The 12,560-nt window shown below is 35.5% G+C and overlaps 1 protein-coding gene across 28 annotated transcripts in view; it reads left to right on the top strand.

Annotated features, from left to right (window-relative positions):
• NSMAF (neutral sphingomyelinase activation associated factor) overlaps positions 1-12,560 on the top strand; it is a 76,350-nt gene that overhangs the window by 37,532 nt on the left and 26,258 nt on the right. The gene's annotated exons all lie outside the window — the stretch shown is intronic.

Genomic DNA, 12,560 nt, shown 5'->3' with positions numbered 1-12,560 from the left:
GTCGAGGCTGCAGTGAGCCATGATTATGCCTCTGTACTCCAGACAGAGTGAGACCCCATCTCAAAAAATAAAAATAATAAATTTTAAAATGTCCTTTCTAAACAACTTATTTGATCATATCACCTGCCCGTTTAAAATTCTTCAAGATTGAAACTAGACTCCTTCCTTACACCATATACAAAAATTAACTCAAGATGGATTAAAGACTTAAATGTAAAACCTAAAACTATAAAAACTGTTGAAGAAAACCTAGGAAATACCATTCTGGACATAGGCCCCAGCAAAGATTTCATGACGAAGTCACAAAAGCAATTACAGCAAAAACAAAAATTGACAAATGAGAACTAATTAAACTAAAGAGCTTTTAAACAGCAAAATAAACTATCAACAGAGTAAACAGACAGCCCACGGAATGAGAGAAAATATTTGCAAACTTTGCATCTGCCAAAGGTCTAATATCCAGAATCTAGAAGAAAGAAGCAAAAAATGAACAACCCCATTAAAAAGTAGGCCAAGGTCATGAACAGACACTTTTCAAAAAAAGACATACATGCAACCAAAAAAATCTGAAAAAATGCTCAATGCCACTAATCATTAGAAAAATGTAAATCAAAAGCACGGTGAGATACCATCTTATACCAGTTAGAATGGCTATTATTTTAAAAATTTAGTAAATTTTGAATGGCTATTACTCAAAAAATAACATGCTGGTGAGGTTGCAGAGAAAAGGGAATGCTTGTACCCTGTTGGTGGCAGTGTAAATTAGTTCAGCTACTGTAGAAAGCAGTTTGGTGATTTCTCAAAGAACTTAAAACAGAGCTACCATTTGACCCAGCAGTCCCATGATTGCGTATATACCCAATGGAAAATAAATTGTTCTACCATAAAGATACATGCACACGTAGGCTTATCACAGCACTATTCAAAATATTAATAGCAAAGACATAGAATCAACCTAAATACCCATCAGTGGTAGACTGGATAAAAGAAAATGTGGTACCTATACACCATGGAATACTTTGCAGCCATAAAAAAAGAGATCATGCCCTTTGCAGCAACACTGGATGGAGCTGGAGGCCACGGATGGCGCTGGAGCAAATTAATGTGGGAATAGAAAACTAACACTGCATGTTCTCACTTATAAGTAGGAACTGAACATTGAGTACAAATGGACGCAAAGAAGGGAACAATAGACACTGAGCCTGCTTGAGGGTGGAGGATGGGAGGGAGGAGGGTGAGGATCGAAAAACTGCCTATCAGATACCAATTACCTGGGTGACAAAATAATCTGTACACCAAACCCCCAAGACATATATTTTATCTATGTAACAAACCTGCATATGTACCCTGAAACTAAAATAAAAGTTAAAAGATAATAAAAAAAATTAAGTCTTTGAGAGTAGGAACTTGTCTGGTCTCTTGCATCCACAGAGTATGGTATATTACAGTGAATGAAATTAATGGATTCTCTCCATTTTACTGCCATTGCATTTTCCCAGACCCCCATTAGCTCTCCTCGGTCTAACTGGAATTATTTCTCCTCCAGCCTCTTCATATGGTCCACAAAGTTATCTTCCTAAAACAAACATGATTATTGCCCACCAACCAGCTCCTAGAACAGTAACAAGCAAAAGAGTTTTCAATAACAGTTAATTTAAATGCCTGTCTTTCATTGACAATATCAAAGGTTACTATACCAAGACACAAATAGTCTTTTACAGCCATACACCTTAAAATTCCCTGGATTATTTCATATTGCCAAGAGAAAGTGATACAATAAAAGGCCATTAAAAATATAAATAAAATAAAAATTTTCAAGACGCCCCCATCCCCAGTGCCTTCAGGATAAAGCCTAAACACCTTAACATGGCCCCAAGACTCTTAGGTGCTAGCTCTTATTTACTACTAGTCGTTGATGATGCATCTTGAATTCTGTGCCCTAGTTATTTGCATTGCCTGCAGTTTCTGTTGTGCCACATTGTCTCTTACCTCTGAGCCTTTGTTCTTGTTCCCTCTGCTTAGAAAACTCATCCTCCTTCTCTGCACCTGGCTGTTGCTTATTCTTCTTATTTCAGCTGTGCTCTCAGTTCTTCTAGAAGGTCTTTCCTGAGACTTCAAGTTGCAATAAGTACCTACCTATGGTGCTCTATAGGGTCCAAGAGAGTACACTTCTCCTGTTCTAATGGTTTTTTCATTGACTTTCTTGGCTTTTCTTAAGTATACATTTTGTGCAAAGATGACATTTCTGTATTATCCCATTCTCTTACTTGTTTATTGCCTTATATCAAGGAGATTTAGGCGATTCGTCTGTATCTTTGTCTCTGGTACCACTAAGCTAATTATTATACCTTTATGGTAACTATTGATATCTGGTAGTGCAGGGCCCCAGACCTTATTTTCCTTTTTCACTTATGTCTTCAATATTCTTGGTCTTAGGCACTGCCATCTGAATTTAGAATCAGCTTGTCAATTTCCATAAAAGCAATTGTGCTGGGATTTTGATTGTAATTGCAGTGAATCTATAGTCTTCTCTCTATTTATTTAGGTCCCCTTTAATATATTCCTTATGATTTTCTTCATAAAGGTCTTTCCTGTCTTATGTTATTTATTCCTAGTACTTCATATTTGTGATGGTATTATAAATGGTATGTTATTAAAATTTTATTTTCTGTTTATTGTTGATATATAGAATGCAATAGGTTTTAGTGTACTCATTTTGTTTTCAGCAACCCTATTAAACTCTATGACCAATTCCATTAACTGTATATTTAGATTCTTTATATTTACAAAATCTTATCTATGAATTATTTGCAGTCTCTATTCACTAGCATTTTTATTTTTGATTTTTGCATCTGTAATCATTCATCCTTAGGACAAAGCAGAAAGTATTGGTTAAATAGGTTCATTTATTTATGGATTATTATGTGCTACGCTTTTGCTAGAAGCTTATGTTTATAAATGAGAGTAGTTTGTAATATTCTATTTTATTGCTACCTTTGTGAGATTTGGGAATCAGTCATCTTGACCCTTACCCTACATTTTAATGTGTTAAAGAACTTGCCAGTAAGGCCATCTGGCCAGTAATGTGTTTTTTGTGTTTATGTTTGTTTGATTCTTTCTCTGCTTCACTATATAGCGTTAATTTTATTTCCATTTTTATACTGGCAGGATATATTAGGTAAGTGAATTGCTTAGGGAAGAATAGTTTCCATTTTAGAAAGGAAAGGGAATAATAATAAGAAGAATTAGCTTCTTCTGACCTACTTAGAATGTGTCATTTTTCCAAGTAGCAATTTAGACTTCAATTCTGGGCTTCAGCATGACATTCATTTAAAAAATAGTTCACTGTGAACGTTTTAATGTATCCAGTTGCTGAAATGTTAGGCTAAAGAATTTGGGGGAAGGGATTTTTGCCATATGAAATGAAATATTACAGTGTTGTATACTTTCTCTAGAAGAAAAAAAGGTAAACTTCCGCTAAGATAAGCTTTCATCGTATTTCTGAGGAGATAATTTTTTGTTAAAGGAATATAAGGAAAACTATTTTTAATACTTTTTATTTTGAAAAATTTTAAACTGTCACAAGTTGAAACGCTAATACAATGAAGGCAGATCCCCTATGATTCACCAGATGTTAATTTAACATTTTGCCAAATTTTCTTTAAGTCATGCCTGCTCCTACTCACATTGTTGCTCTGTGTGTGTGTGTGTTATTTGTATGTATAAATGTGTATGTTTGTATTATATATATATGTGTATATATTTTTTCTGAACCATCTGAAACTAAATTCTGAGGTATCATAACACTTCTCCCATAAGTACTTCAGCAGGTACTTGTTAGAAGGATATCCTCCATTCCTTGATACCATTATCATATTCCATTAGCAATAATTCCATAATATATCTCATATATAATAAAATAAAATCATAATAAAATATAAAATCATTAAAAATATAAAATCATAATATCATCTTATAGCTTCATATTAAATTTTCCCCTTCTTTTAAAAAAATTATACTTTAAGTTCTAGGGTACATGTGCAGAAGTGCAGGTTTGATACATAGGTATACATGTGCCATGTTGGATTGCTGCACCCGTCAACTCATCATTTACATTAGATATTTCTCCTAATGCTATCCCTCCCCCGGCTCCCCACCCCACGACAGGCCCCAGTGTGTGATGTTCCTCGCCCTGTGTCCAAGTGATCTCATTGTTCAGTTCCCACCTATGAGTGAGGACATGTGGTGTTTGGCTTGCTGTCCTTGCGATAGTTTGCTGAGAATGATGGTTTCCAGCTTCGTCCATGTCCCTGCAAAGGACATGAACTCATCCCTTTTTATGGCTGCATAGTATCCCATGAAGTATATGTGCCAGATTTTCTTAATCCAGTCTATCATTGATGGACATTTGGGTTGGTTCCAAGTCTTTGCTATTGTGAATAGTGCCACAATAAACGTACATGTGCATGTGTCTTTATAGTAGCATGATTTATAATCCTTTGGGTATATACCCAGTAATGGGATTGCTGGGTGAAATGGTAATTCTAGTTCTAGATCCTTGAGGAATCGCCACACTGTCTTCCACAATGGTTGAACTAATTTACACTCCCACCAACAGTGTAAAAGTGTTCCTATTTCTCCACATCCTCTCCAGTATCTGTTGTTTCCTGACTTTTTAATGATTGCCATTCTAACTGGCATGAGATGGTATCTTGTTGTGGTTTTGATTTGCATTTCTCTGATGACCAGTGATGATGAGCATTTTTTCATGTGTCTGTTGGCTGCATAGATGTCTTCTTTTGATAAGTGTCTGTTCATATCCTTTGCTCACTTTTTGATGGGTTTGTTTGTTTTTTTCTTGTAAATTTGTTTGAGTTCTTTGTAGATTCTGGATATTAGCCTTTTGTCAGATGGGTAGATTGCAGAAATTTTCTCCCATTCTGTAGGTTGCCTGTTCACTCTGATGGTAGTTTCTTTTGCTGTGCAGAAGTTCTTTAGTTTAATTAGATCCCATTTGTCTATTTTGGCTATTGTTGCCATTGCTTTTCGTGTTTTAGTCATGAAGTCCTTGCCCATGCCTATGTCCTGAATGATATTGCTTAGGTTTTCTTCTAGGGTTTTTATGGTTTTAGGTCTAACATTTAAGTCTTTAATCCATCCTGAATTAAAAATTTACCCTTTTCTACCCCAAAAGTCTTCCTTAAATTACTTTATTTTGTAATGATTGTAGATTTAAGAAGAACAGACCAAAAGATAGTACAGATTTCTCTTTCATGCCCCACTCAGAATCCCTGTTCTGTTTAGTATGTAGATGCTGCCATCTTTTGTTGGACATATTCCTAGATATTTGATTGTTTGATACTATTGAAAATTTATTTTCCAACTATTTGTTACTGGTACATAGAAATACAGTTCTTTTTTTAATTGGCCTTGTATACTATGACTCTTCTAAATTCACTCATTAGTCTTAGAGTGTTTTTTGCTAGATTCCATGGAGTTTTCATGTACATAATCATTTAATCTGTGAATAATGACAGTTTCACAGAAATCCGTATGGCTTTTATTTTCTATTTCTTGCCTCATTGCACAGTTTTATTAATAGATGTGGTGGAAATGAACATTATTGCCTCATTCTTGATCTTACAGGAAAAGGGCTTAAGGTTTCATCATTCAAAGATGATGTTAGCTGTAGGTTTTTCATAGCTGCCCTTTAACAGAATGAAAATATTCCTTTCTGTTCCTAGTTTACTGAGAGTTTTTTCAATAATGGGTGTAGAATTTTGTCAAATATTTTTTCTGCATTCATTGACATGATCATATTTTTTTCTTTATTCTGTTAATGTTTTGAATTACATTGATTGATTTTTTTCAATGTTAAACCAACCTTGTATTCATGGGCTAAATCTAATTTGGGAACATGATATCTTATCTTTTTTACATATTACTGGATTTGCTTTGCTAGTATTTTTATATCTATATTGATGAGGGATATTGCTCTGTAATTCTCTTGTAAGGTATTTGTCAGGTATGGTACAGGTTATGCTGACCTCATAATAGTATGGAGGTTTTCTTTATCTCCGGTTTTCAGAAAAAGTTTGTGTAGGATTGTTGTTATTTCTTCCTTACATTTTTAATAGAATTTATTGATGAAGCCATCTAGGTCTAAAGTGTCCTTTGGGATTCCATTTATTTACTAGACATAGGACTGTTGCATTTGTCTGTTTCTTCTGTTCCTGTTTTGGTAACTTGTGTTTTTCAAATAAATTGTCCATTTCATCTAAATTGTCAGACGTATTGATATGAAGTTGCTAATGTCCTTTTAATGCCAGCAGCATCTGTAGTATCTACCCTTCTTTCATTCATTATGCTGATACTTTGTGTTTTCTCTTTTTAAAAAAAATCAGTATTGCCAGGGCTTACCAATTTTATTAATCTTTCAAATGACCACATTTTGACTTTGTTGATATTTTTCTGCTTTTTCACTTTACTTATAGTTGATGTCTACTTTTATGATTTCCTTCCTTCAGCTTGCTTTGGGTTTAAACTTATTCTTGTAACTTTCTAAGAAGAAAGTCTAGGTCACCAGTTTTATTCCTTCCTTTGTAATAGAAGTACTTAAACTTATAATTTTCTCTTTAAGCACTGCTTTTGCAACATTCTGCAGATTTTGATATGTTTTTTGTTACCATTAATGTAAAAATATTTTGTAATTTTCTTCATCATTTCTCCTTTGGCCCATAGGTAATTTAGAAGTATGTTTAACTTCCACATATTTGGAAATTTTTAGTAGATATTTTATAGGTACTGATTTATAATTTAATATCTGATCAGAGAATATGTTCTATGTGATTTCAGTCTTTTGATATTTGTTCAGATTTGTTTTATGGCCCAGCATATGGCCTATCTTGGTGAACATTTCACATGCCATTGAAAGGAATGTGAGCTCTGCAGCTGTTGAAAATAGTATTCCATAAGTGCCGTATGGGTCCAACTGGTTGATGGTCATTTGGATCAAATATATTTCATTAATTTTTTTTGTTGACTTGTGCTATCAGTCACTGAGAGAAGGATGTTAAAATTGTCAGTGGTGATTTATTTCTTTTCTTATTTCTGTCAATTTATGCATTTTGTGTTGTGAAGCTCTGTTATTAGATTCATATACATTAAGATGCGTAATGTCTTCTTAATTAATTGATTCTTTCATCATTAGGAAATGTCCCTCTTCATTTGTGATAGTCTTTTTCTTGAAGCCTGCTTTGTCTTCCTTTAAAGTAACCACATCAGTTTTCTTATGTGTTGTGATTGCATGATACATCTTTTTTTGCCCTTTTACTACTAACCTGTGTATTTATTCTGTTTTAAAAAATATATATACTTTAAATATATAGTTGAGTCTTGCTTTTTATGCATTCTGACAATCTCTGCTTTTCAATAAGAACGTTTAGATAATTTATAATTATATAATTATACACTAGCTGGTTTTAAGCCTAGTATCTTAGGATAGTCATGCATCACTTAATGACAGGGATATGTGTTGTGGGATTCAGGAGGACGAGAGAGGGACCTTGGGTTAAAACAGGAGAATCTTTTATTGAATGCACCAGGCCCAGCTGACTCAGCGTCCAAATGACTGGGCCTGGAACAAAGACAGCACTTGACTTTTATACACACTTCTCCAAAGGGGTGGGCCAGCTTGAAGCAAGCTTACAGTGGTGTGAAAGCAGGGATACAGAGGCAGGACAACGACCGATAATCAAATTGTAACAGGTTCATAACTCAGGATTGCACATAACCATTGCTATGCAACCCAGATGTCCATTATCTAGGTTTGCCTAGGCACAGGCTTATCCTATAACCTTCACTATGGCACCCAGGTGGCCGTAACTCAGGCCTGCTCAGAGGCTCATGACCGTCACTCTACTGCTTAGATAAAACAATACTTGAAGTCACTAGTTACAGAGAAGAGGAATCTGTAAACTCATTCCATAAAACAAAGGAAAATTTGTTTTTCTTCTCCCTATGTTAAAGGAGTGCTGGGAGAGTCTTCAGAGCACATTAGATAATATTATCAAGACTTTTCCTAGGTCTGGGCTGTGCTTGTTGCTGCCTCTGAGACAAGTCAGCCTAATACAGGAAAACTTATTTCTCTTTCTTTTTAATTTTATTTTTCTTTAATTTCCCGCCTCATATGTTGTGAGAAACGTGTTGTTAGGCAATGGTCATTGTGAGGACATCATAGGGTGCACTTACACAAACCTGAATGGTACAGCTGACTACACACTTAGACTATACAGTATAGCCTATTGCTCCTAGGTTACAAACCTGCACAGCATTTTGCTGTACCACTTGAGTGTCCCTAATTCAAACATTTTAAGTCCGAAATGCTCCAAAAGTCCGAAATGCACTCAAAAATTTTTGAGTGCCAACATGATGGTCAAAGGAAATGCTCATTGGAGCAGTTCAGATTTCAGATTTTGTGATTAGGGAGGCACACCGATATGATACAAACATTCAAAAATCCAAAATCCGAAACACTTTTGCTCCCAAGTGTTTTGAATAAGGAATACTCAACTTGTACTAAATGCTATAGGCAATTATAATATAATAGTATTTATGTATCTACTTATAGAAAAGGTAGAGTAAAAATAAGGTATTATAATTTTATGAGACCACTATTATATACAGTGTCATTGACCAAAACATCATTATGTGGCACACATTGTTTCTGTATTTATTTCTTGGTGTCTCATTTTTTTTTTGTTCCTCTGCTCCTCCTTTTCTCCCTTCTTTTCGGTAATTCTCGTATTTTTCAGTACTCCATTTTATCTACTCTATTGACTTTTTAGCTGTAGCACTTTGTGTTATTTTTAGTGGTCATTCTAGAGATTACAATATGTACCTCGTGCCAGAGTGTACCTTCAGATAATATCATTTCATGCTACTTTACACCAATACAAGAACCTTACTCCAATGTATTTCCATTTAGCCTCTCCTGCCTGTTATGATCTTATCTTGTGGCTAATTTATGCATAATCCATAAAACCCACAATACAGTATTCTTATTTGTGCTTTAAAAATCAATAGCTTTTTAAAGAATTTAGATACATATATGTGTTTGCATAGAAATTAAAAATACTAAAAAATATTTTTAATACTTAGATATTTAGATGTTTATAATTTCTAGTCTTGTTTCCTTTCTGCAAATCTAGTATTTCATCTGGTATCATTTTTCCTTAGTCTAAAACACTTTTTGTGGCATTCATTACAAGCTGATCCATTAGAGATTAATTCTCTCAGCTTTGTCTAAGAAGAAGATATTTATTTTACCTTCATTTTCGAAGGGTGTTTTTGGATATAGAATTCTAGGTTGACAGGTTTCTTACCCCTTTAAAGATTGTCATTCCATTGTTTCCGGTGAAGAGCCCCATGATTTGAATTGCTGTTCCCTATATACGATGTGGTTTTCTTGTGCTCATCCTGCTTGAGGGTTTCAGAGTGTATGATGGGGAAATTCCTACTATGCTGTCAACACAGAACACCTCAGTGATCAGCTGTGGGGCTTTTTCCTATACCAAAGGGTTCTCTGACACCAGTTGGGTATTCTACAATTCGATTCATTGTCTGCCTGGAGTTAGCACAGACCCCAGAGGTTAAGAGCTCAGTCCAACAAGGCTGCCCCCCTCACCTCCGATGCCAATCACAAATCCAAGTTGTCACCTGTGCTCTGACCAACTAGCTATAAATCAGAGATTCCCACAACACATTCCTTAGGTTTGATCACTAGAATGGCTCACAGAACTTGGAAATATTTACTTATGTTTACCAGTTTATTATGATAATAAAGGACATGATAAAGGGTACAGATGAACAGCCAGATGAGAAGATGCATAGGGTGATATCTGGAAGGAAGGGTCCTGAGTGCAGGAGCTTCTGTCCCTGTGGAGTGAGGGTACATCACCCTCCTGGCACATAGATGTCTTCAGCAACCCAGAAGCTCTCCCAGCCTCATAGTTTAGGGGTATTTATGGAGGTTTCGTCACATAGGCATAGTCAAATATTAACTCAGTCTCCAGCCTCTCTACCTTATGCTGAAAAGGGCGAGTGTGGCCAAAAGCTCTAAGCCTCTCATCAGGGCTTGGTCCTTCTGGTGACCAGCACCCATCCAGGATCCCATACACAGTTGCCTCATTAGAGCAAAAGATGCTTCTGTAACTCAGGAAATTCCAAGAGATTAGGAGGTCTATGTCAGGAATCAGGACCAAAGACCAAATATTAGAACAAAAGATGGACCTAACACCTCTGTCACTCGGGAAATTACACAAGTTTCAGGAGCTCTGTGCCACAAACTGGGAGCAGAGACCAAATGATATATTTTTTTATTATGTCACATAGAGTTTCAGAATAACATGCATCTATGAACTGATATCTTTCATCAGTTCTCAGCCATTCTCTTCTCCATTTCCTCTGTCCTATTTTCTGTCTTTTCTTTTATAATCAGTTATACTTAAGTTAGTATGTTTAATATATTCCTTCAGATCTCAGATACACACTCCTATATATTTTTTTCATTCTTTTTTCTCCTTTGGTTTTGTTTTAGTTAGGACACTTTTTATTGACCTGTTTTCAGCCTTACTGGACCTTTCCTCCACTGCATCCAGTCTGTTGTTAAGATTGTTTAGTTAGTTCTTTGTGATATCAACATTTTTATTCCTATATTTCCGTTTGGTTCTTTTTCATAGTTTCTATTTCTCTGCTGAAACTCTGTCTTTTCACATGTGTTGTCCATCTTTTGTTCTTGTTGACCCACTGCACCCAGGCTGGAGTGCAGTGGCATAATCATGGCTGACTGAAGCCCCATCCTCCCGGGCTCAAGTGATCCTCAGCGTCCTGAGTAGCTGGGACCACAGGCACATGCCACCATGCCTGGCTAATTTTTTATTTTTTGTAGAGATGGTATCTCAGTATGTTACCCAGCTGGTCTCAAACTCTTGGGCTTAAGTGATCCTCTTGCTTTGGCCTCTCAAAGTGCTGGGATTACAGGTGTGAGCCAACATGCCTAGACTGTTCTTGATCCTTTATCATATTTACTATAGTTATCTTAAAGTCTTCCTCTGATTGATCCAATGTCTGACACACCTTCTATAGAGTCTTTTCTCTCTTGAGCATGAGTCATATTTTCTTGCTTCTTTGTTATGCATTATAATTTTATTGTATTGTAATTTTTTTATTGAGCAGTTTGTTAAAAAGGAAGTGTTGAGACCGAACTAAATAATATTTACCTCCAGAAGTGGTCAAGCCACCTCTTATTCTGTCAGGCTACTTGTACAGGGAGGCTCTGTCAATCAAATCTGTCACTGAGCTGCATTAAGACTTTGTTGCACCTGTGGTTAAATTTAAGCCAACACTGCCTACAACTCTATTGAGGGAGTGATAAAGACTTTCTCTTCCACAGGACTTGGGATCTCAGCACTTGAAGGATTCTAGAGATATCTTTGTGCTTTATAACTGAGCCATCGGGTTTCTGAACTGTGGGAGATTTCCCTTGTTTTGCACCTCAGTCGACAGCATTTTTGGATCTCTGGGGAGCTTTCTTTGCTCTCCAGTCTCAACTCTGGCTTTCCATTTCCCTGAAGATCTCTCTTCATTCTGCAGCCCTTACTCACTTCTATCATAGGTTGCTCCTCCTCCTGCCACTCACCTGTTGATCTCTTCTTTCCTTTTTGCAATCATGTTCATTTAGGTTGCTTTACATGCTCAACATTCCAGTCGGTTTTAAAAAGCTATGAAGATTGTTCAGTATATCCAGCTCATTTTGGTTGTTAGGGTGAAAGCTTCAACAGTCTCTTACAGCTTTCCCATCCTAACTTGAGGTGGAGATCTTCCTCTGTATCTTTTTGTCCTGTCACTTATAAAGAGATTTATTTTTAACCCAGTTATTTCAGTAATTGCCTTAAAATGTTGATGATTTGGTTGTTTTCCCTTATTTTTTCTTAAATCAGTTAAAGCAGAATGAGAAGGGACTTTGTTGATTAAATATTTTAGGAGTGAGTAGTGAAGAGATCATTTTTCAGAGGTTTTCTGCAGTAAATTCACAGAGGGATATACTCAAAAATATACAAAGGAATATACAGTTACTCAAATGTATTATAATTCAAGTAATTATAATTATGTAGTCAGAGCCTTATAAAGTGTAGTGTGAAATAAATGCCACTTGTGTCAAAATGGTTTATAGGATGATAAAAATAATGACAGAAAAATAGGAAATAATTTAAATGTAAGAATAGTTTCAAGGCCTATTTATTTTGGGGGGAATGAGTTTAGCTAAGGGTTATTTGGTATTATTTACTTGTCTGTCATGGCTTCTGTGGTAGATAATCTCACCTATTTCTTTGAAAAATGAGTTTTTATCATGCCATTTCTAAAGAGTCAGTTTTATCTAAGCAATCAATTTATATTACCATTTTTCTTATATTAAATGTAGTGTTTAGACAAATGTCATAGAAAGTCACACTGTAGCTCCCTTAGATAAACCTAGAAAGTAGATCAATTTCTGATTTTTC

Source organism: Homo sapiens, chromosome 8 (genome assembly GCF_000001405.40).
Source record: "Homo sapiens chromosome 8, GRCh38.p14 Primary Assembly".
NCBI lineage: Eukaryota > Metazoa > Chordata > Mammalia > Primates > Hominidae > Homo > Homo sapiens.
The sequence above is the reverse complement of the archived record's forward strand: the minus strand, read 5'-3'. Positions and strand labels throughout refer to the sequence as shown.